The sequence below is a fragment of the Homo sapiens genome, chromosome 7, assembly GCF_000001405.40.
Source record: "Homo sapiens chromosome 7, GRCh38.p14 Primary Assembly".
NCBI lineage: Eukaryota > Metazoa > Chordata > Mammalia > Primates > Hominidae > Homo > Homo sapiens.
Window position 1 is genome coordinate 8,236,938 of NC_000007.14, and position 23,578 is coordinate 8,260,515.

The following is a 23,578-nucleotide window of genomic DNA, read 5'->3' on the forward strand; positions in this document are numbered from 1 at the left end:
CCAATCATTCTCCTTTGGTCTCAGAAAGGATCCTGGCAACCAGTACTCCTAAAGTGATTAAAGCTTTCCTAGGCTATTTAAAAACATTTCAAGGGGACAAAATTACGATGTGCAAATCCCACGCTTCAGGTATGCAGACAAGAGAGAGGAAGAAGAGAATTTCCAGAGTGTCAGATGCCTCTGATATGACAGCATCCTGCAGTGAACATCTCTCTTCCTTGTGGAGAGCATCCAAATATCTGGACGAGCTGCTTTTGGGAATGACATTCAGGGTAAGTAAGTAAGCTCTGCCCTCCACTCAGTGCATCATGGAGAGGCTACCAACACCCAGTCCTCTCACCACCCAGACAGCTTCACTGTAAGTACACATTTACTTTAGTTAGCTTGAAATTTCCAACAAATTTTTTCATAAAAAGAGGGTGTTCAAAGGAAATGGAATTATCATATTCTTCTCTTGAGTTCAATGTCACCATGAACTATTAGGATAGTTGGTACTTTTTGATTAATATTTTTATTATGGTAAAAAAGTTTATTCTTTTAATTTAAAAGTGTACAGTATAGTAGTGCTAACAATATACACTTTGTTGTACAACAGATCTCTAGAACTTTTTCATCTTGCATGATGGAAATTCTACACCCATTGAACAACTCCCCATTTTCCCCTCCCACAGCCCCCAGCAACCACTATTCTAGTTTCTGATTCTATGAATTTGACTACTTTAGATACCTCATAAAAATGCAAACACTCAGTATTTGTGTTCTTGTGATTGGCTTATTTCACTTAGCATAATGCATTTAAGGTTCATCTGTGTTGTAGTATATGACAGGACTTCCTTTTTAAGGCTGAATGATATTGCATTGTATATGCAATGTTGAAGACAGACACACACACACACACACACACACACACACACACCATTTTCTTTAACCATTCATGTGTCAATGGATATTTAGGTTGCTTTCACATCTTGGCTATTGGGAATAATGCTGCAATAAACACAGTATACAGTGTCAAATTCATTGACAGGTTCTTGGAAGCTGCAACTATAGGCAAAGTGATATACACAGGTCCAGAATAACACTGTTTCATAATAATATTGATAAGAAAAAAATGGCTTATGTCGTTTTGCCTAAAGTTGCAGTTTCCAAGAACTATCAATGACATTAAATGAGGTCTTAATGTATCTCTCTGAGATCCTGTATTCAATTCTTTTGCACAAATACACAGAATTTGGACTGCTGGATTATACAGTTCTCTACTTAATTTTTTGAGGAAACTGCCTATTGTTTTCCACAGCAGCTGCACCATTTCAAGCCCACTGATGGTATGCAAGGGTCCCACTTTCTCCACATCCTTGTTAATGTTTGTTTCCATTTTTAAAAATAATAGCCATCCGAAGCATTGTGAGGTGATATCTCATGGTTTTGGTTTACAGTTCTCTGATTAGTGATGTTGTGCATCTTTTCATATTTTTTTGCCATTTGTATATTTTCTTTGGAGAAATGTCTATGCAGGTCTTTTGCCCATTTTTAAATTGGGTCATTTTGTTATTGACCCAACTTAATTTGCAGGAGTTATTGCAGGAGTTCTCTATATATTCCAGATATTGATCCCTTATCCAATATATGGTTTGCAAATATTTTCTCATATTCTGTAGGTTAGCTTTTCACTCTGTTGACTATTTCCTTTACTATGACTTTTTAATTAATTTTTGCTTATTAAAATGCCTTTTAATTTAAATCCTTCATAGTGTAAGTTCTTATAGTATGTGTTATTTATAGTTATAGTTAACAAAAATTGCTGAGCAAATTGCCCCTTCTACCTAGATTTCCAGGCTATTCCCAGATCATGATACCATACGGCAGTGTTCCTCAAGGTATTGTTTAACAGCCACTTGCATTGAAATCTTCCGGGGATACTAATATACAGAATCCTAGACCCCACTCCTTTCCTAGTGAAATAGCATCTCTGAGAATGATTCTGGGAATCTAGTTTTATAATAGGCTTTGCAAGTCATTCTTAAGCACATTAAAGTATGAGAACCACAGCTAAATGGCACACAGGGAAAATATTTTTGGAAATTGGTCTTTCTTGAACAAACTACTGGATCATAGGCACAGGAGCAAAGGAATCATAAGTGGTCAAAATAAGGTCAGCTCTGCAGGGTACATCTGAACGCCTCATGAGAAGGCAGCTGGAGCCAGTGCTAACATCTCTTTTTATATATGTTCTAACTCTACATACCAGAGACAATTAATAAACATCTTAAGATTTCCTGACATAATCTATCTTGTTTTGCTCTATCACTTTCCAAATCCACAGCATTTAAATTGCTACTTTAAAAAATCATTATAATTGTTATCCATTCATTTCAGTTCAACAGTTTGGTTTATCAGACATAAACTGAGCATCAAATGAGTACATGCCAGTCACTCTTCCTGGCCTCAAATATAGATCAGCTCTGTCCAATAGAAATAGACTATGAGCACATTCCAAGACGGCCGAATAGGAATAGCTCCAGTCTGCAGCTCCCAGCGTGGCTGACGCAGAAGATGGGTGATTTCTGCATTTCCAGCTGAGGTACCTGGTTCATCTCATTGGGACTGGTTGACAGTGGGTGCAACCCACAGAGGGTGAGCCGAAACAGGGCAGGGCATCTTCTCACCCAGGAAGTGCAAGGGGTCGGGGGATTTCCCTTTCCAAGCTGAGGGAAGGCATGACAGACTGTACCTGGAAAATCGGGACACTGCCGCCCAAATACTGCACTTTTCCAACAGTCTCAGCAAATGGCACACCAGGAGTTTATATCCCACGCCTGGCTCGGCAGGTCCCATGCCCATGAAGCCTTGCTCACTGCTAGCACAGCAGTCTGAGATAGAACTGCGAGGTGTCAGCCTAGCTGGGGCAGGGGCGTCTGCCATTGCTGAGGCATGAGTAGGTAAACAAAGCGGCCAGGGAAGCTTGAACTGGGCGGAACCCACTGCAGCTCAGCAAGGCCTGTTGCCTCTGTACATTCCACCTCTGGGGGAAGGGCATCGCTGAACAAAAGGCAGCAGAAACTTCTGCAGACTTAAACGTCCCTGTCTGACAGCTCTGAAGAGAGCAGTGGTTCTCCCAGCACTGAGCTCTGAGAATGGACAGACTGCCTCCTCAAGTAGGTCCCTGACCCCCATGTAGCCTAACTGGGAGACACCTCCCAGTAGGGGCTGACAGACACCTTATACAGGTGGGTGCCCCTCTGGGACGAAGCTTCCAGAGGAAGGATCAGGCAGCAATATTTGCTGTTCTGCAATATTTGCTATTCTGCAGCCTCTGCTGGCGATACCCAGGCAAACAGAGTCTGGAGTGGACCTCCAGCAAACTCCAACAAACCTGCAGCTGAGGGACCTGACTGTTAGAAGGAAAACTAACAAACAGAAAGGAACAGCACCAACATCAACAAAAAGGACATTCACACCAAAACCCCATCTGTAGGTCATCAACATCAAAGACCAAGGGTAGATAAAACCAGAGCAGAAACCAGAGCAGAAAAGCTGAAAATTCTAAAAACCAGAGCGCATCTTCTCCTCCAAAGGATCGCAGCCCCTTGCCAGCAAAGGAACAAAGTTGGATGGAGAATGACTTTGACGAGCTGACAGAAGTAGGCTTCAGAAGGTTGGTAATAACAAACTTCTCCGAGCTAAAGGAGACTGTTCAAACCCATTGCAAGGAAGCTAAAAACCTTGAAAAAAAGATCAGACGAATGAGTAACTCAAATAAACAGTGTAGAGAAGACTTAAATGACCTGATGGAGCTGAAAACCATGGCAGGAGAACTACGTGACGCATTTACAAGCTTCAACAGCTGATTCAATCAAGTGGAAGAAAGGGTAGGTATCAGTGATTGAATCAAATTAACGAAATAAAGCGAGAAGAAAAGTTTAGAGAAAAAAGAGTAAAAAGTAACTAGCAAAGCCTCCAAGAAATAAGGGACTATGTGAAAAGACCAAATCTATGCTTGACTGGTGTACCTGAAAGTGACGGGGAGAATGGAACCAAGCTGGAAAACAGTCTTCAGGATATTATCCAGGAGAATTTCCCCAACCTAGCAAGGCAGGCCAATATTCAAATTCAGGAATTACAGAGAACACCACAGAGATACTCCTTGAGAAGAGCAACCCCAAGACACATAACTGTCAGATTCACCAAGGTTGAAATGAAGGAAAAAATGTTAAGGGCAGCCAGAGAGAAAGGTTGGGTTACCCACAAAGGGAAGCCCATCAGACTAATAGCAGATCTCTCAGCAGAAACTCTACAAGCCAGAAGCGAGTGGGGGCCAATATTCAACATTCTTAAAGAAAAGAATTTTCAATCCAGAATTTCATATCCAGGCAAACTAAGCTTCATAAGTGAAGGAGAAATAAAATCCTTTACAGAAAAGCAAATGCTGAGAGATTTTTGTCACCACCAGGTCTACCTTACAAGAGCTCCTGAAGGAAGCACTAAACATGGAAAGGAATGACTGGTACCAGCCACTGCAAAAACATGCCAAATTGTAAAGACCATCGATGCTAGGAAGAAACTGCATCAACTAATAGGCAAAATAACCAGCTAACATCATAATGACAGATTAAATTCACACATAACAATATTAACCTTATTGTAAATGGGCTAAATGCCCCAATTAAAAGACACAGACTGGCAAATTGGATAAAGAGTCAAGACCCATCAGTGTGCTGTATTCAGGAGACCCATCTCACAGACAGAGACACACATAGGCTCAAAATAAAGGGATGGAGGAACATCTACCAAACAAATGGAAAGCAAAAAAACAGCAGGGGTTGCAATCCTAGTCTCTGATAAAACATACTTTAAACCAACAAAGATCAAAAGAGACAAAGAAGGCCATTACATAATGGTAAAGGGGTCAATTCGACAAGAAGAGTTAACTATCCTAAATATATATGCACCCAATACAAGAGCACCCAGATTCATAAAGCAAATCCTTCAAGACCTACAAAGAGACTTAGACTCCCACACAATAATAATGGGAGACTTTAACACCCCACTGTCAACATTACACAGATCAACGAGACAGAAGGTTAACAAGGATATCCAGGACTTGAACTCAGCTCTGCACCAAGCAGACCTAATAGACATCTACAGAACTCTCCACCCCAAATCAACAGAATATACATTCTTCTCAGCACCACATCACACTTATTCCAAAATTGAACACATAACTGGAAAAAAGCACTCCTCAGCAAATGAAAAAGAACACAAGTCACAACAAACTGTCTCTCAGACCACAGTGCAATCAAATTAGAATTCAGGATTAAGAAACTCACTCAAAATGACACAACTACATGCAAACTGAACTATCTGCTCCTGAATGACTACTGGGTAAATAATGAAATGAAGGCAGACATAAAGATGTTCTTTGAAACCAAAGAGAACAAAGACACAATGTACCAGAATCTCTGGGACACATTTAAAGCAGTGTATAGAGGGAAATTTATAGCACTAAGTGCCCACAAGAGAAAGCAGGAAAGATCTAAAATTGACACCCTAACATCACAATTAAAAGAACTAGAGAAGCAAGAGCAAACAAATTCAAATGCTAGCAGAAGGCAAGAAATAACTAAGATCAGAGCAGAACTGAAGGAGATAAGACACAAAAAACCCTTCAAAAAATCAATGAATCCAGGAGCTGGTTTTTTGAAAAGATCAACAAAATTGATAGATCACTAGCAAGACTAATAAAGAAGAAAAGAGAGAAGAATCAAACAGATGCAATAAAAAATGATAAAGGGGATATCACCACCGATCCCACAGAAATACAAACTACCATCAGAGAATACTATAAACACCTCGATGCAAATAAACTAGAAAATCTAGAAGAAATGGATGAATTCCTGGACACATACACCCTCCCAAGACTAAAACCAGGAAGAAATTGAATCTCTGAATAGACCAATAACAGGCTCTGAAATTGAGGCAATAATTAATAGCCTACCAACCAAAAAAAGTCCAGGACCAGACGGATTCACAGCCGAATTCTACCAGAGGTACAAAGAGGAGCTGGTACCATTTCTTCTGAAACTATTCCAATCAATAGAAAAAGAGGGAATCCTCCTTAACTCATTTTATGAGGCCAGCATCATCCTGATACCAAAGCCTGGCAGAGACACAACAAAAAAAGGGAATTTTAGACCTATATCCCTGATAAACATCAGTGTGAAAATCCTCAATAAAATACTGGCAAACGGAATCCAGCAGCACATCAAAAAGCTTATCCACCACAATCAAGTCGGCTTCATCCCTGGAATGCAAGGCTGGTTCAACATACACAAATCAATACACGTAATCCATCACATAAACAGAATCATCGACAAAAACCACATGATTATCTCAATGGATGCAGAAAAGGCCTTTGACAAAATTCAACAATGCTTCATGCTAAAAACTCTCAATAAACTAGGTATTGATGGAACGTATCTCAAAATAATAAGAGCTATTTATGACAAACCCACAGCCAATATCATACTGAAAGGGCAAAAACTGGAAGCATTCCCTCTGAAAACTGGCACAAGACAGGGATGTCCTCTCTCACCACTCCCATTCAACATAGTGTTGGAAGTTCTGGCCAGGGCAATCAGGCAAGAGAAAGCAATAAAGCATATTCAATTAGGAAAAGAAGAAGTCTAATTGTCCCTGTTTGCAGATGACATGATTGTATATTTAGAAAACCCCATTGTCTCAGCCCCAAATCTCCTTAAGCAGACAAGCAACTTCAGCAAAGTCTCAGGATACAAAATCAATGTGCAAAAATCATAAGCGTTCCTATACACCAATAACAGACAAACAGAGAGCCAAATCATGAGTGAACTCCCATTCACAATTGCTACGAAGAGAATAAAATACCCAGGAATCCAACTTACAAGGGATGTGAAGGACCTCTTCAAGGAGAACTACAAACCACTGCTCAACGAAATAAAAGAGGACACAAACAAATGGAAGAACATTCCATGCTCATGGATAGGAAGAATCAATATTGTGAAAATGGCCATACTGCCCAAGGTAATTTATAGATTCAATGCTATCCCCATATGACTTTCTTCACAGAATTGGAAAAAAACTACTTTAAAGTTCATATGGAATCAAAAAAGAGCCTGCATTGCCAAGACAATCCTGGGCAAGAAGAACAAACCTGGAGGCATCACGCTACCTGACTTCAAACTATACTACAAAGCTACAGTAACCAAAACAGCATGGTACTGGTATGAAAACAGAGATATAGACCAATGGAACAGAACACAGAACTCAGAAATACACCACACATCTACAGCTATCTGATCTTTGACAAATCTGACAAAAACAAGAAATGGGGAAAGGATTCCCTATTTAATAAATGGTGCTGGGAAAACTGGCTAGCTATATGTAGAAAGCTGAAACTGGATCCCTTCCTTACACTTTATACAAAAATTAATTCAAGATGGATTAAAGACTTAAATGTTAGACCTACAACCATAAAAACCCTAGAGGAAAACCTAGGCAATACCATTCAGGACATAGGCATGGGCAAGGACTTCATGACTAAAACACCAAAAGCAATGGCAACAAAAGCCAAAATACACACATGGGATCTAATTAAACTAAAGAGCTTCTGCACAGCAAAAGAAACTGCCATCAGAGTAAACAGGCAACCTACACAATGGGAGAAAATTTTTGCAATCTACCCATCTGATAAAGGGATAATATCCAGAATCGACAAAGAATGTAAACAAATTTACAAGAAAAAAGCAAACAACCCCATCAAAAAGTGGGCAAAGGATATGAACAGACACTTCACAAAAGAATACATTTATGCAGCTAACAGACACATGAAAAAATGCTCATCATCATTGGTCATCAGAGAAATGCAAATCAAAACCACAGTGAGATACCATCTCACACCTGTTAGAATGGTGATCATTAAAAAGTCAGGAAACAACAGGTGCTGGAGAGGATGTGGAGAAACAGGAACACTTTTACACTGTTGGTGGGGAGTGTAAACTAGTTCAACTATTGTGGAAGACAGTGTGGTGATTCCTCAAGGATCTAGAACTAGAAATACCATTTGACCCAGTGATCCCATTACTGGGTATATACCCAAAGGATTATAAATCATGCTGCTATAAAGACACATGCACACGTATGTTTACTGCGGCACTATTCACAATACCAACGACTTGGAACCAATACAAATGTCCATCAATGGTAGAGCGGATTAAGAAAATGCGGCACATATACACCATGGAATACTATGCAGCCATAAAAAAGGATGAGTTCATGTCCTTTGCAAGGACATGGATGAAGCTGGAAACCATCACTCTGAGCAAACTATCACAAGGACAGAAATCCAAGCACCACATGTTCTCACTCATAGGTGGGAATAGAACAATGAGAACACTTGGTCACTGGGTAGAAACATCACACACTGGGGCCTGTTGTGGGGTGGGGGGTGGGGGCAGGGATGGCATTTGGAGAAATACCTAATTTAAATGACAGGTTGATGGGTACAGTGGGCCAGCATGGCACATGTATACTTATGTAATGAGCCTGCACGTTGTGCTCATGTACCCTAGAACTTAAAGTATAATAATAATAATTAAAAAAGAATTATACTATGAGTTTAAATGTTCTAATAGCCATGTTAAAAAAATTTAAAAACAGTGAAATTAATGTTTATATATTTTAACCCAATATATCTAAATTATTATTTCAACATATAACCAATATAAAAATGAGTGATACATTTTACACTAATATTTTTGTACCAAGTTTAAAATATAGTATGTTATACTTTCAGCAAATCTCAATTCACACTAGCCATATTAAGTACTCAAGAGCCACACGGGGTTAGTGGATACCATATTGAACAGTACAAGTTTCGCAGTAAAGACAGATATATAATTTCCAGAATCAGTAGAGCCTTGACATTTGCAAGGGACATATAACAATGTCCCCTTAATGAATCCCCAAATTTGCAAATTCTGCTGTAAAAATATTTTCCCTGTAAAATTGAATAAAGTCTATGATTAGCTAATACTTCATGATTCTGCAATGGAAGCTATTTCTCCACTTCTGCCACAAGGCCCTTATGAAACAAGCCCAGAAAGAATGGTGTCACATCTCCAGCTTTTTAATGACACAGAAAAGATGTCCTAAAGATCTGCTTGTGGTCATCTTACCTTGGGAGATAAGCAAAGAAGGGCAAGTAACAAGATGCTGATGGACTGTGAGCGCCAAGATATTGTCACAGTCAGCACAACTTGATCGCATGAATGTTTGTGTTTCACAGTTAAACTGTTTCCTCAAAGAAGACAAAGCAGTTGCACCAATAATTAAGATCTGCTCAAAGAAGCAGAGGCCCAAGGATGAATAGATCAATGGAAAGCAAGTTTCTAATTTTGATATAACAACCTGGGGAGTGTGGGAATGAGTTGGTGAGGAGGAGGCTCTGTGTCTAAGGCAGAAATATAGGTGAAGGAAAGGCAACTTCCTGCTCAGAGGTGGAACTGCTGCTGAGGTCAGCACCTTCTTCTTAGGTGACACTGAGACTACCAACCTAATCCCTTTAGATTTTCCTAGACTGCACCTTGATGGGGTTACAATATATTCACCTCATGGTCCAAAGCCAGGCATTAAAACCATAGTTGTTCTCAGCCACATCCATTTGACTGAGAAACCACCTTGCTCTGTGGGAAGAATTGAGAGAACAGTGGGGAAGGACACTTTGTTCAGGTTTTCTGTTGGGATCCTGTGCTCCTGTGCAATAACTATGCTCATTTTTCCTTTTATTTTTTGAGACGGAGTCTCGCTCTGTCACCCAGGCTGGAGTATAGTGGTGCGATCTCGGCTCACCACAACCTCTGCCTCCTGGGTTCAAGCGATTCTCTTGCCTCAGCCTCCCGAGTAGCTGGAACTACAGGCATGTGCCACAACGCCTGGCTAAGTTTTTGTATTTTTAGTAGAGATGGGGTTTCACCGTGTTAGCCAGGATGGTCTCAATCTCCTGACCTCATGATCCACCCGCCTTGGCCTCCCAAAGTGCTGGGATTACAGGCGTGAACCACCATGCCTGGCCTTTCCTTTTCATATATGCTTGCTGTGCTGAGTCCTCAATTTTATTCCCCCGTGTAGATGGGCAAAAGACTACAGCAATCGTCCCACTTGTCATTACTTGCTAGAGCCATTTAAAAACCATTTTAGGCTGGATGTGATGCCTCATGCCTGTAATCCCAGAACTTTGGGAGGCCAAGGCAAGTGGAACGCTTGAGCCCAGGAGTTTGAGACCAGCCTTGTGAACACAGTGAACTCTGTCTCTACAAAAAAATAATTAGAAGAAGAAATTAGCTAGACACGGTGGCACACGCCTGTAGTCCCAGCTACTCAGGAGGCTGACATGGGAGGATCAATCGAGCCCAGGAGGTCAAGGCTGCAGAGAGCCATGATGGAGCCACTGCACTCCAGCCTGGGTGACAGAGTGAGATCCTGTATCAAAAAAGAAAAGAAAAAAGAAAAAAAACAAAACAAGCCATTTTGAACAAGCTGGACAGCTTGGCCATAAGACATGCATAGTAGTTTTTTCCTAACACCCAAAGGTACACAGAATGCTAAAACAAGCCAGGTTTTAAGTACAGAGTTTGATTCATTGCCACAAAGTGGACAGGAGTCAGTTTTTCCCTAGCTGCCTTGAACCCAGATACCAGATTCTTCTCCTTGGAAATATAATCTAGGAAGGCATTTTCATTCCACATAAGCTGGCTTCCACTGCAATGAACGCTTGTTCTGACCTAGAACTTTTTCTATGCATTTCTTCAAGGCAGTGAAGTTAGCTGATGGCACTTCTGATTACTTTTGAATTATGCAAAGAATCTAAAATTCTTGAGCCAATCCTTGTTCAGAGTAAAGCTAAGATCAGTAGTCATTCCACTATATTGGTATTCTATACCCACAAAATTTGACCAGTTTTCAATACCTTGTTCTTTCATACACTAAAACTTATCAGGCAGCAACTTGGTAAAACTCAAATGTAGTTAATTTTTCTTCAGAGAAGCAGAAATGTGTGCCTCCTCGTCAGTTTATTAGATCAACTATTTCTTTTTAATATGGAACTGGCTTCCTCTTGAATCATGTTTCCTAAGCACGTCATTTTACTTATGCAAAGATTCATGTCTCCAATTAATTAACTTTACAACTTTAGTGGTAGAATTTTTCTCTTCCATTCAGTGGGTAGCTTTTCTGTTGGTTGGAGTACCAGCTGAAACTGAGTCCAGAGTCGCTTTTTCTTGTTGTCTGTACTGAGCATATGGTGGAATCTCTTGAGTTGCATATCTGAGTCAATGCCAAATTTGTCATTTTCCTCTTTAGTTTATTCAACATTTCTATTTTCTAGATAAAAATTGTCATTACCTTAGAGCTCTTCAGTTCTTTGGGAAGTAGGGGGCCATTTTTTCCCCCATAAGAAATAACGCTTTTTTCAGACCAGGAACAGTGGCTCATGCTTAGAATTCCAGCACTTTGAGAGGCAAGGAGGGTGGATTGTTTGAGCTCAGAAGTTCGAGACCAGACGATGAAACCCTATCTCTACCAAAAATACAAAAAATTAGCTGGGCATGGTGGTGCACACTTGTGGTCCCAGCTATTCAGGAGGCTGAGGTGGGAGGATCGCTTGAGCCAGGAAGGTGGAAGTTGCATTGAGCTGAGATCATGCCACTGCACTCCAGCCTGGGCAGCAGAGTAAGATGCCCACCACTCCCTCAACCTCTCGAAAGAAAAGAAAATACACACACTTTTCAGAACAGAACAGAGTCTGGCAATGATGTGGGTGCAAAGTGGTACATTAGAAACATCCCATAGTGAAATCACTCATTCCTAAACACCAGCTTCATAGCACCACATGCCATACAATCTACGGTACAAATCTGTTCATATTCTATCATCACTGTGTTAGAGTCACTACCTTGTCAACTGTCAGTCATTTTTCTTTCTTCATGGAATATAAATGGTAAGACCTCCTGACCAATAGTTTTTTATATATGATAAAATGCAGAGTAATTCTTTAAAATCAAACTTCAGTAAAATTATAAATCACTATGTGCCCCAGACTTTTGCGGCTATTTGTATATAACTGAAAAAAAGCATCTGCCATCAGAAGATGCTACAGGCTCCCTGTGATGGGGCACAAATGCCATGGCAGAGGAAACTGCCAGGGTTTGAGGGGCACAGAACAGAGGCACAATGCTGGCTTCCCACACAGCCTCTGGGCTGAGTCTCTAAGACTTAATTAGTCATTGCTGGAGAGGCAAAGGCTGGAAGTGCGGTGGGGAGGGAAGTGGTATTATTCTAGGCAGAGGAAATGCAGTGAACAAATTCTTCCACAGCAGAACTGCCAGTGGTGTGTGTAACTAACCGTAAGCAGTTGTGCATTATAATTTAAAGACACGCAACAGGGGAAACAGAGGGGCCAGCCTCTGAAGCACCATGTGCCACCTTCAGCATTTAGATATACTCTAGCCATTGGAGGATGGACATTCAATGCTGTTTATTTCACACTCGGTGGGCACCATGTTTTGTCCTGCCTTTGTTAGGGAGTTAGTTTTTGGACTATCCATCACAAATATTGGAAGCTGGTGACATGTCTCTCAGATTTAGCTTCCAATTGCATGGTACTAATTTACGTAACTTCTTCCTCATTCCATTTTCCTGTTATTTCAGAGATCAGTTTCATCTGGAAATATGACCAGTCTTCAATATTTTGTTCTTCCATACACTAAAACTTACACATCATGCAATAATTTTACAGAACTCAATTGTAGTGAACTTTTCTTCAGAGAAGTGGAAATGTGTGTCTCCTACTCAGTTTATTAGACTGACTATTTCTTTTCAAATGATCTGAAGTGATGCAGGTATTTGGGTTTATTTCTCTGGTGTGTAACTTCAGAAAAAACAGAAGTCATATAATTTAGAGCCTAGAAAGAGATGAGGAAGAACTGAATAAAGCCCCTTCCTTCTGAAATGGGACTTGTGATCCAGGGAGGAACACGGCCTGAGAGCACAAAGCCAATAGTCTTCAGAGCCAGGGCTCCCACATGGGGTCCTCCACTTGCCTGATGAACAGGGGAAATACTGATTTGTCAGAGGTTTTAGCCACTAAGGTAAAAAAATAATTGGATGTCTGTGCATTTCTTTTGGGCAAAGTATGTTTTCATCATTTTTCCTAGATGTTTGTCTCTGTCACTTCCTCTTATGTCAATAATGATTTTTACAATTTCTTATGGAGAGAAGTGTATTTGAGTATAAATATTAAAATAGTTTCAGTAGAAGCAGTGAAAAAAACTGGAACAATTCCTCCAGGCATAATTAACCATATTAATTATTATTTTTAAAATCCTGATTCATCAAATCCTGTTCTCAAGTGGTTGAGAAATGGGCATTCCCATGGAGGATGGGAAGTTCAATTAGCCTTCCATCTTTTCAAAAGCTAGGTATTAATTAAAGTAACACGATTTTGATGAGTTTTTAATGGGTGTTTTTCCTACCTCTGAGATATCATACAGCTTGTCCTTTTGGATTTTTGACGTGGACACGATTACCTGAGCATTCCACACAACTGCACACAAGGCTACAGTGAGCTCTGATCCCCTCACTGCACTCCAGCCTGGGTGATTGAGTGACTACACAACTTTAAATGGATCCTGTTTCCAGTTTTGTGCCTTCTGCAATGATTTTTGATATTTCATAAATTCACAAGTAAATGTGAAATGGGATCATGTTTTAATTTTGTGAGTCAGCAAATATCACCAAGAGGAAAACAGAATTGTGATCTTATTCATGGTAGCTAAAAGGTGAGTTTTTATTTTAACACTACAGATGCAAGCCACTGTTAAAATCTGTGTTTTCTGTTAATGAACTAAAGTCTTAGGATATTTTCTTTTATTAAAGAAATTTTTTTTTTGAGACAGGATCTTGCTCAGTTGCCCAGGCTGGAGTGCAATTGTGACATTACAGCTCATGCAGCCTTGACCTCCTGGGCTCAAGTGATCCCCCCCACCTCAGCCTCTTCAGTAGCTGGGACTACAGGCACTTGCCAATAGGCCCAGCTAATTTTTTTATTTTTAGTAAAATGCCTCCCAATGCTAGTCTCAAACTCCTGAGCTCAAGTGATCCACCAGCTTTGGACTCCCCAAGTGCCAGGATTACAGGCATGAGCCACTGTGCCCAGCCAGATATTTTTAAATGATTGTTTTATTTACATTTCAAAAGAACTCAGGTGTTATATACAATGATTAAGTTATATACAATGATTAAGTTTAATGACTCCCTAAAACTATTAAAATCACATTCCTAAAGTATGTATTTTGAAGGTTTCCCAATATGCTCCTTGATATAAATAAAAGCTGGTAAATCCATGACTATGTCACACACTTAGTCATCACTTCAGCGATCTGGCTTCACTTTGCTCATCTGTAAAACAGTAGACTAGGCAAGTGGCCATCTAGGATGCCCCCAGTCACAAAAATAAAAAACTCAAATTATTTTCAGAGACATTTACATCTAAGATAAAGCTTAGAGATAATGAACACAACATCCTTTTCAATGATTAAAAAATTGGGGTTCTAAAAATAGAGATGACTTGTCCAAGATCAGGTTAAAGGTCAAGTTCACATAGAGGAATGCTGGGAATGAAACATTCATCAGCCAGTTAACAATTTGGTGCTCTCCTCTGTCTCTTCATCTATTCCAAGAGATGTTTCTGAAAGGAAAATATCAAATATAACAGAAACCAAAATAAAATTGCCAAGCTACTTTCTAAAATGTCATCTTCAGCATTAATATTATTGTAAAATTTTTAAATATTATATCCATGTAAAACAAATTAAAAACAAACCAGAAAACTCAAACTGCTCACAAAAAGTGTGGTCTAGGTCTTGCTCCTCTTTCTTTTGCTTAAAGCCCTCCTTTCAAAGGATGATCGATGGTGAATTTTGTGCTACACCAAAAATCATGGCAGTAATAACAAAGAGGTAGGTATTTGCAAACCACAAACCTAAAAGAAATCTAGAAAGATAAAAATATAAAGTGTAAAACAACACTAGAAACAGAACAAATGGGTTACCTCTGCTAAAGAAAAAAGTAATTTTAAAAGTTTGCAGTATAAATTATATTCACCTTTGATTTTATTTAGTTTGGTTTACATAAATTTCAAATATCAAATCAAATTTCACATACAGATTTTACTCTGTATTTATGGTGGTGTTTTCTCTAAAAGCTTAATTTCAAAAGCTGAAGAATGAAGGAACACCCTAATCAGATAAAAGTCTCGATCAAGTTCTGTGAAGGAATACTACGCCCTTCGATGTCAGCACAGAACATTATTAAATCATAGGTCTAAATGTTATCCTTATATTTTATTGGGATCAAATTATAAAACTTGGAAGGCTCTTACAAATCTTACTTTAAAGAATTGCACCAACTTAAATTTTCTTTTTATGGAAGAATAACCTCAGATAAATTGACTTTATCATCTAAGACTATGCAGTCCAATATAGCAGACACTAGCCACATGTAATATGAGCACTTGAGATACGGCTGGTATGAATTCAGATGAGCTCTAAATGTAAAATTCACACTGGATTTTGAAGACTTAGTAACAAAAAATTAAAATGTCTCATTAATAAATCCATGTATTTATAGTTATAAAAATTATTTCATGTTGATATATTGTATATATCTAAATTTTATATAACTACATTTATATATTACATATTTACATATGTATATTATATATTCTGCTTTATATTTAATTATATTTTTTGCTTATTTATTACTTTTTTATATTTTACGTTGAAACAATATTTTGAATATTTTGGGTTAGATCAAATAAATTATCAATTTAATTTAAGCTGTTTCTTTTTAGTTTTTGTTTGTTTTGAGACAGGGTCTTACTGTGTTGCCCAGGCTGGTCTTGAACTCCTAGGCTCAAACAATCCTCCCACCTCAGCCTCCTGAGTAGCTGGAATTATAAGCATGGCACACGCCACAGCCCCCACCTTATTTCTTTTTAGTTTTTAAGCCAAAAATATTTTACTACTAGAATGTTTTAAATTATATATGTGGCTGCTGTTATATTTTTGTTGGAGAGCCTCAGTCTAAGGCATCAAACAAATCAAAAAAGAGCTAGAAATTAATTCTATAACTTCGGTCACCAATATTCTGTACTAGTTACAAATACCCTTAAACAGTTATTTCTGCTCAGAATCTCTGACATTCTGTCAGAGATGTCATTACAAAAATAAAATCATATGTATCTTCTTTTGAAATAACCTACAAAATGATTGTACTCCATATTTTTACAAGTTTAAAAAGGTCCAAATCTGTGTGCACAATGTACTATTTGTGTCAAATTAGATTTATGTGAATAGTAAGTGAAGTGGTGGGCTACTATAAGACCATCAGAAGTAAAAATGTAAGGACAATGTGATGTAATATATACAATATGTATCCACAAATGTAAAATGTATACATATATTTAGAAATCACAAATATATATAGCTGACCCTTAAAGAAAATGGGTTTGGACTGCATAGGTCCACCTATACACCAGTTTTTTTCAACCAAAGGCAAATAGAAAATATATCTTCTATTTTTTTATAATCATATTTTTATATTTAAGTACATTTTTTGCTTATAATTAAATATAAAGAGAGAAACCTGGCATGAGAAACCTGTGTATATGGAAAGTCAACTTTTCATATACATACATGGGTTCTGCAGGGCTCTGCAGGACTTGAGCATGTGTGGATTTTCATAGCTGAGGGTGGTCCTAGAACCAATCCCCTGTGTATACAGAGGGATGACTTTAATTCATATGTACATAGAAACGTATGAATGGTTAATAATAACAGTGTGAAGGAAGAACCAAGAGTATGAATGTGGGGACTATAATTATATGAAATTGCACGTAAGCATAATATCAGCCATCAGAATAATCAGGGAGATGCTAATGTTTATAAGGTTCTCTTCCTTTAAGATTAAATTCATAATTTGAAGCCTCCAAAAGATGTGATCAAGCAATTTGTTATGACTCCACAGAACCTCCTGGCTGAGAGTGAGGAGAGAATTTACACATCATTTAGTCCAACCTCCTCTTTTCACTGAAGGAACTGAGGGAAATTTGGGGAAATTTCCCAAGTCACAGAGTAAAATTTGTCTCATTAGTCTTAAATTACTGAACTATGCAGACACCAATATGTGGTTTATAAAATGTGTATGCTGTGCACGGGTCCTGTAAACAAACCACCACAGCTCCTTTATCTGGAAATGGCACATATTCCAGAACTTTCCTTGGTTAAGCTGTGGCAGGTAAATCATGTTTGAGTTTGGGCTGGCTTAGGAGCAGGGAATGCAGGCAGTCCAGGCAGGGGAAGGGAGGAGCAAGAAAGGATCTCAGAGGTCAGCAGCAAAGGGAAGCAGGCAGCAGAAGAAAGCACTATATGATCATGTATGCTCAGCTAACAGCACCACACTTGCGTCTGCTGGGTCATCTAGTTGGCGTTATTTGAGAACTAATAAAGATCCCTTTTTCAGGTTCTCTCTACTTTCTCAGGAAATAAACAGCAGCAAAGCCCAGAGCTTATAAAGCACAAGACTGGTTATTTTGATGGGGGTCAGGAAAGACAGGGATATTGGGCATGTACCCTCTAGGGCAGACCAGGTAGAAAACCCAGAAAGTTGCTTGAAGGTACTGAGTTCCAGGTTAGGAGTGCAGAGAAGAGAGAAACAGGAAGCAGAAAGTGGGGAGTGGCTTAGCACAAACACAACACAATGTTTACATACTTCACAATGATGCCAATGCTGCAAATGGCAACACTGAGTCAACAGCATTAGGCACCAGGACACTTAGCTCCTGGCCTTCAGGGAGCAGTGGGAAGAAAACCCTGCAGGGTGGTGACAGGCAGTCTCCCTCTTCACGCACTCTGGGGAACCATGGCCTTGGCACTGCGCTGGGCACCTTCTGTCACAGTTTCCACTCTCTGTGCACCCCTGCTCACTTCTTTGGAGCTATCCAGAATCATGACCACAACCTGCTGTTCGCTTCCTTCTCCCTAGGAAGGACAGCTCCTACACTCTTACCCCTGCCCACCTTAGTCCATCTTTCTGTCTCTTCTCTTTCATGTTAATCAACCTCCCTTGGCTTCTACCATCAGGCCTCATTCTTCAAACTCTTTCTCAGTTCCCATCCTCTTCCTTCTCTTCACAGTCAAGAGTTCTAAGCCCATGCTCTCTGGTTCCTTTCTCCACCAGCCCAGAGAACATCTTTCACTATGGGCCCCACTCAAGTCCTCATTTCTCATGACTTTTGACCACGTTCTCTTCCTTTCTTGAAATGCTCCTCTTCCTCTACTTTTCAGGAAATATTCTCCACACTTTTCTATCTTTTCAATTTTCTTTGCTAGCTTCTTTTCCTCTGTGTCTGCATCTCAAATATCAGTATCTGTAAGGTTCCAAGCTTGGAACTTTACTTGCTCTCATTAGGTGATTTCTCATTAGGTGAGGCCACTTCCATGGCTTCAACTGCCAGCTGTATGCCAACAACTTCCAAAATCACACACCTCTCCAGGGCACCAGATCCACATTTCCACCTCCAGATGGTAATCTTCACCTGGATTGTTCCACAGGCACTTCAAATTCAGCACATCTAAAACTAAACTCCTCTTTCCATCTGCACTCTCAAATTCTTCTTTCTGTGGTCCCTATGTTAATTACCAGCACTAAATGTACTGAATGGCCTAAGTTGAAAACCTCACTTCTTTCTCTTTTTTTTTTTTTTTGGCAGGGTCTTGCTCTGTTGCCCAGGCTGGAGTGCAGTGGCACAATCATGACTCACTGCAGCCCTGACCTGCTGGGCTCAAGCAATCCTCTTACTTAGCCTACCAAGTAGCTGGGACTACAGGCACATACCACCACACCCAGCTAATTTTTTAAATTGTTGGTAGAGATGAGTTCTCACTATGTTGCCCAGGCTGGTCTCAAACACTTGAGTTCAAGCAATCCTCTTGCCCTGGTCTCCCAAAGTGCTAGGATCACAGACATGAGCCACCACACCCAGCCTCTTTCATCTTTTGCAACCAGTCTCCAGGTTCTCTCCATTCTACCTCTTAAAAAGCGATTGAATGCATCTTATCTTTTCTATCTTCACAGCTTAGGCCTTAAGAGGCAATGCTATCTGTGTACCTGTCCATTCCAATCTTTACAACACTGCCCGACCTATCACTATATGATGCAAATCAAATTTTTCCACTCTCCTACTTAAAATGTTTTAATTGCTTTCTCTTGCCACTAGAGAAATTCCAAACATTTTTTGAAAAAACACAGGCCCCTTTACATCCTGGCTCCCTTCCCCCCAAATCTTACTCTCCTCCCCACCCTCCGATAGAACTATTCCCTCTGCGCATGTCAGAACGCTTGAGCTTCCCTGAATATACTATGCACTTCAAGGACTTGAGATGATTCTTTCCACTTGGAATGCCCTCCCCCTCCTTTGTCTGATTGCCTAACTTAGAATTTACATCAAGACTCTCCTCAAATGTTGCCTCTTCAGTGAAGTATTCCCAACTCAACATCTCGTCTCTATCCCTCTCCCCATGGGTCTTGCACTCCAGACCTCCCCACTGAAGAGTTAACTGCTCCATACTGGTGGTGCCACTGCACTCCTGTACTCTCCTTCAAGGAGCTAATTACATCTGTATCTCCTGCACTAGACTGTAGGTCCCATGAGTACAGGGACCCTCAAGTTCATCTTTGCCTCCTTAGCACCAAGCATGGCCCCTGGAGCACAGTAGCCATTCAGTACATATGTGCTGGGCAAGGGGCAATAATTATGTTCTACCACTTACCAAGCACTTTACATGTGTGAAGCACTTAACATCATTATGTCATCGCCACACATTATGAAGGGGATATCAACCCATTTTGCAAGTGAGAAACAAAGTTTAGAAGGACGAAGTAATTTACCCAAAGTCAACAACTGGTAAACACAAGTTTACTTTTGACTTCTGAGCTCCTGTTTTTAACTACTCTGCTCTACTCTTGGATGAAAGGAGCTTGATTAATGGGGCTGTTTCAATAAAAACAATCTCCCCCAATCACAGGCTTAGGTGCTGGGTTAGGCCCAAATCCACTGCCAATATAGTGCTACTGTGCACAACAAAACCTGCAATTGCTGATTGATTTCTTCCTTGATAGTTGTCAGGGTTCCTATGACTAAGGAGAGGGGCACTATTTATAAATATCAGCTTCTTGGTTTCTGGCTTAGAATGCTCTACCCTGGAAATATCACAGAGAAGACCGGATTTTCCCCTAGGTACTATTAGGTTTCAGAAACTGATGTCTATGCCCTGTTCTGGGAACAGAGATGTGGCAGTGAGTGTGATCATGATGATGGTAAGAGATGGATTTCAATATGTATACTCTTGGAACATTGTTGCAATACTTAAGAGTCACTTCTTGTACAAATACTTTCACTAACTAGAACCAGAGGACCTTTCTAGTCTCCAATCTAGACTCTTAAAATTAACAATGACTACTATCTATATATTCAGTGGTCCATCACTGAACACATATACCTCATATTTTCCACTCCACAGAACTATATTGCATTCAGTCACCCTCTCTTAATTCATGTATTTTCTGCTAAATGTATTCTAAAATTGAACTCTGCAATGTTCTCTGATTCTAATGACTTTTTAATATTAGTCCCCTATTTTCTACTAATACCTCCACCACCTCCACAACCATGCAACGAATATTTAGAATCAGTCCTGTGCTTACACTAATTAGTGCATCTAATCCTCCTGAATCACAGATGATCAGACTTGTCCAAGGCCACTCAGCTAGTAAGGGACACACATAGACACTGGGCTCCAGACACGAGGACTATTTGTATTAGCATTCTCTCCCTTACTTGTTGACTTTTGTACACACATACACATGGTTGGGAGTGGGGAACGCTCTTTCTCCCCACTCCCAACCCTTATTTACCTGCTGAATTCCTACTGGTTGTTTCAGGCTCAACTCAAGGGCAATCTCCTCCATGAAGCATCTCAGGGTTTCTCTGCCCTTTCTCCTGTTGGGGTGGGATGCCCCCGCCCTGGGCTGCATTACCACCTGTGTCTCTATCTCCTTCTTGCTTTCCCTGAAAGGCAATTGGTTAGTTGACTCCTCTCTTTCCCTCTTTTACTCAGCTGTACGCTCCTCCAGAGCATGGTGGGGTCTGAGTCTTGGGATTCTGAGTGTTTAGCACAGTGTGTAGCTCATGGCACATATACAACCAATGCTTGTTCAATACTAAGTCATCCCACTTCTCTGATTTGGTCAAAGGCCTGATGGATGATGTCATCTGACTTAGCAAGAGAGACAGATGATTCCCATCATGAGTGATGCAGGCCATCATTTCCCCACCTTTTCATGAACTCATTCTAGCTCACTAGGTTTACACTGGGACAAGGAGTTACCACTAATTGAGGAACTGCCACTTCTCAGACACTGGGGTGTATGCTTCACCCACATCACGGAGTATCCTCGCAATACGGCCAAGTTGACATAATGATTTATATTCATTTCACGAAGAAGTTTAAGTTCAGTTATCTTAAGCAACTGGCCTACAGTCACATAGTAGGCAGGCTTTGTTATAAAAACAGGTATAAAATGCCCTATCACATGTAGTCTTCCCTGTCCTGGAGAGATTCATTAGTTATTTGTGAAAATTACTTACAGGTCAAAAAACAAAAACTATGTTAATTTGATGCTATAATACTAAATAGTAAATTGCTAGAATAGTGAAAGTGTGGTCAGCCAGGATTTTTAGAGGCTCCAAGGCAGTTCTACCATATGCATCTATCCAGGGCAAATCATGCCTGCAGTCCTTATCAGACAGATGGAGATTATAATATCTACTTATCTCAAAGGGGGTTGAGTATCACATAAGATCATAGTTGCCAAAGTGCTTTGTGAAGGAAGAGGACAGAGGCTCATTTTAGAGTAGTGTGCTGGACAGTCTGTGGGAGACCCTAGGGATCAGAGCTACCTGAGATGTTGCTTAACAGCAGATGAAGGAAGCTTGACCGGGAATCCACACTTATTTTAACAAGCCCCCAAATGATTCTCTGGGACACTAAAGTTTGAGAAATAACAGGTTACAGCATTGCTTCTCAAATGTTAACATACTCATGGAGATCTTGTTAAAATGGAGATTTGAATTCACTGGGTCTGGAAGAGAGTAGCAGGCACGCTAAGATTTTGCATTTCTAATAAGCTCCCAGGGGAGGCCACATGCTACTGGTCCATGGACCACGTTTGAGTGACAGGGGCTTGGAAGATCTATCCCCACTGGAACAAATTAGATTTGTTTTGTTTCTGGTTGCACCCCCCAACTTCAGAGAGTGTTTTCCATAAAGCCCAGGGTCTTAGTATTGGTACAAAATTATTTGAACTACTCAAAACCAAATTGAAATACACTTCCTATCACAGGCAAAGCAGCAGCATTCTTTTTAGATACGGATAGCATATGTTTAGCATGTGAAAAAATAATTTATTACTACTGAGTGAGTCCTATTTAAAAGCGTGCAAAGCATTTTATATACATTATCTCTAATCTCCACCCTGCCCCTAAAAAGGTGGATATTCCTGTTCTGTAGATAAGGAAATGGTGACTTAAGTAACTTGGTCAAGGTCACACGGCTAGTTAGGTGTTACCGCAGGGATTCTGATTTTGCTCCATCAGGATCCAAAGCCCATGAGTCCTCCATACTCCCTCAGAGTGTTAGATATGATTGTGATACGAAATGTATCAGCTTGGGAATCAAGAAAAAAGCGGGGGAAAAGTGTTTTTTGAGTTTAAAGTTCTGCTGAGGCAGATTGCGAATGGTGGTGGGGTTGGGGGATAAGATTCATTAGTGATCTATGTTGCCTCATGGACAAAACATGCAGATAGCATCCTTATTAATGGTTCCCATAAATCTAGTAATGCAGATGGAAAAAAAGGACACTAGTGACCAGCGTGCTGATTATAAACACTGCCACCTACCCTCAGGCTCAACCAACGAAGAGGAAAAATTCATCCTGACACTTGGGGCCTGTTAACTTCCTCCCTCTCTCGCATGAGGTTTCTATAATCTTAAAAGTTCATACCAAACATAGGTTTATCCTTCTACGTTATGGCATAACTACCAGACCTCCATACCGCTAATGCTGCTTGCACCTGAAAAAAATGTACTATTTAGTCAAATACCTTGAAAACGTACTGATTTTGAAGGCTCTGAGTAACAAAATTTTCTATACTTTTCGTGAGATTGATCTTTATGCACTGCGGTAAAGATGCGTAGAGAAAGCAGTCAGATAGTTACTCAGGTGTTCCAAATGGGGGAAAATAGTTACAAAATAAACCACCCAGGCAATTACCATCCAGTATCTTTAGCACTCAATGATCCACGGGTGGAGGATACAGGGTTAACGTTTTTTAACATCAGGTCTCTCCACAAATAGCCCGCTGTAG

General features: G+C 40.0%; 1 protein-coding gene across 36 annotated transcripts in view; it reads right to left on the reverse strand.

Annotated features, from left to right (window-relative positions):
• ICA1 (islet cell autoantigen 1) overlaps window positions 1-23,578 on the reverse strand; it is a 149,372-nt gene that overhangs the window by 123,754 nt on the left and 2,040 nt on the right. The gene's annotated exons all lie outside the window — the stretch shown is intronic.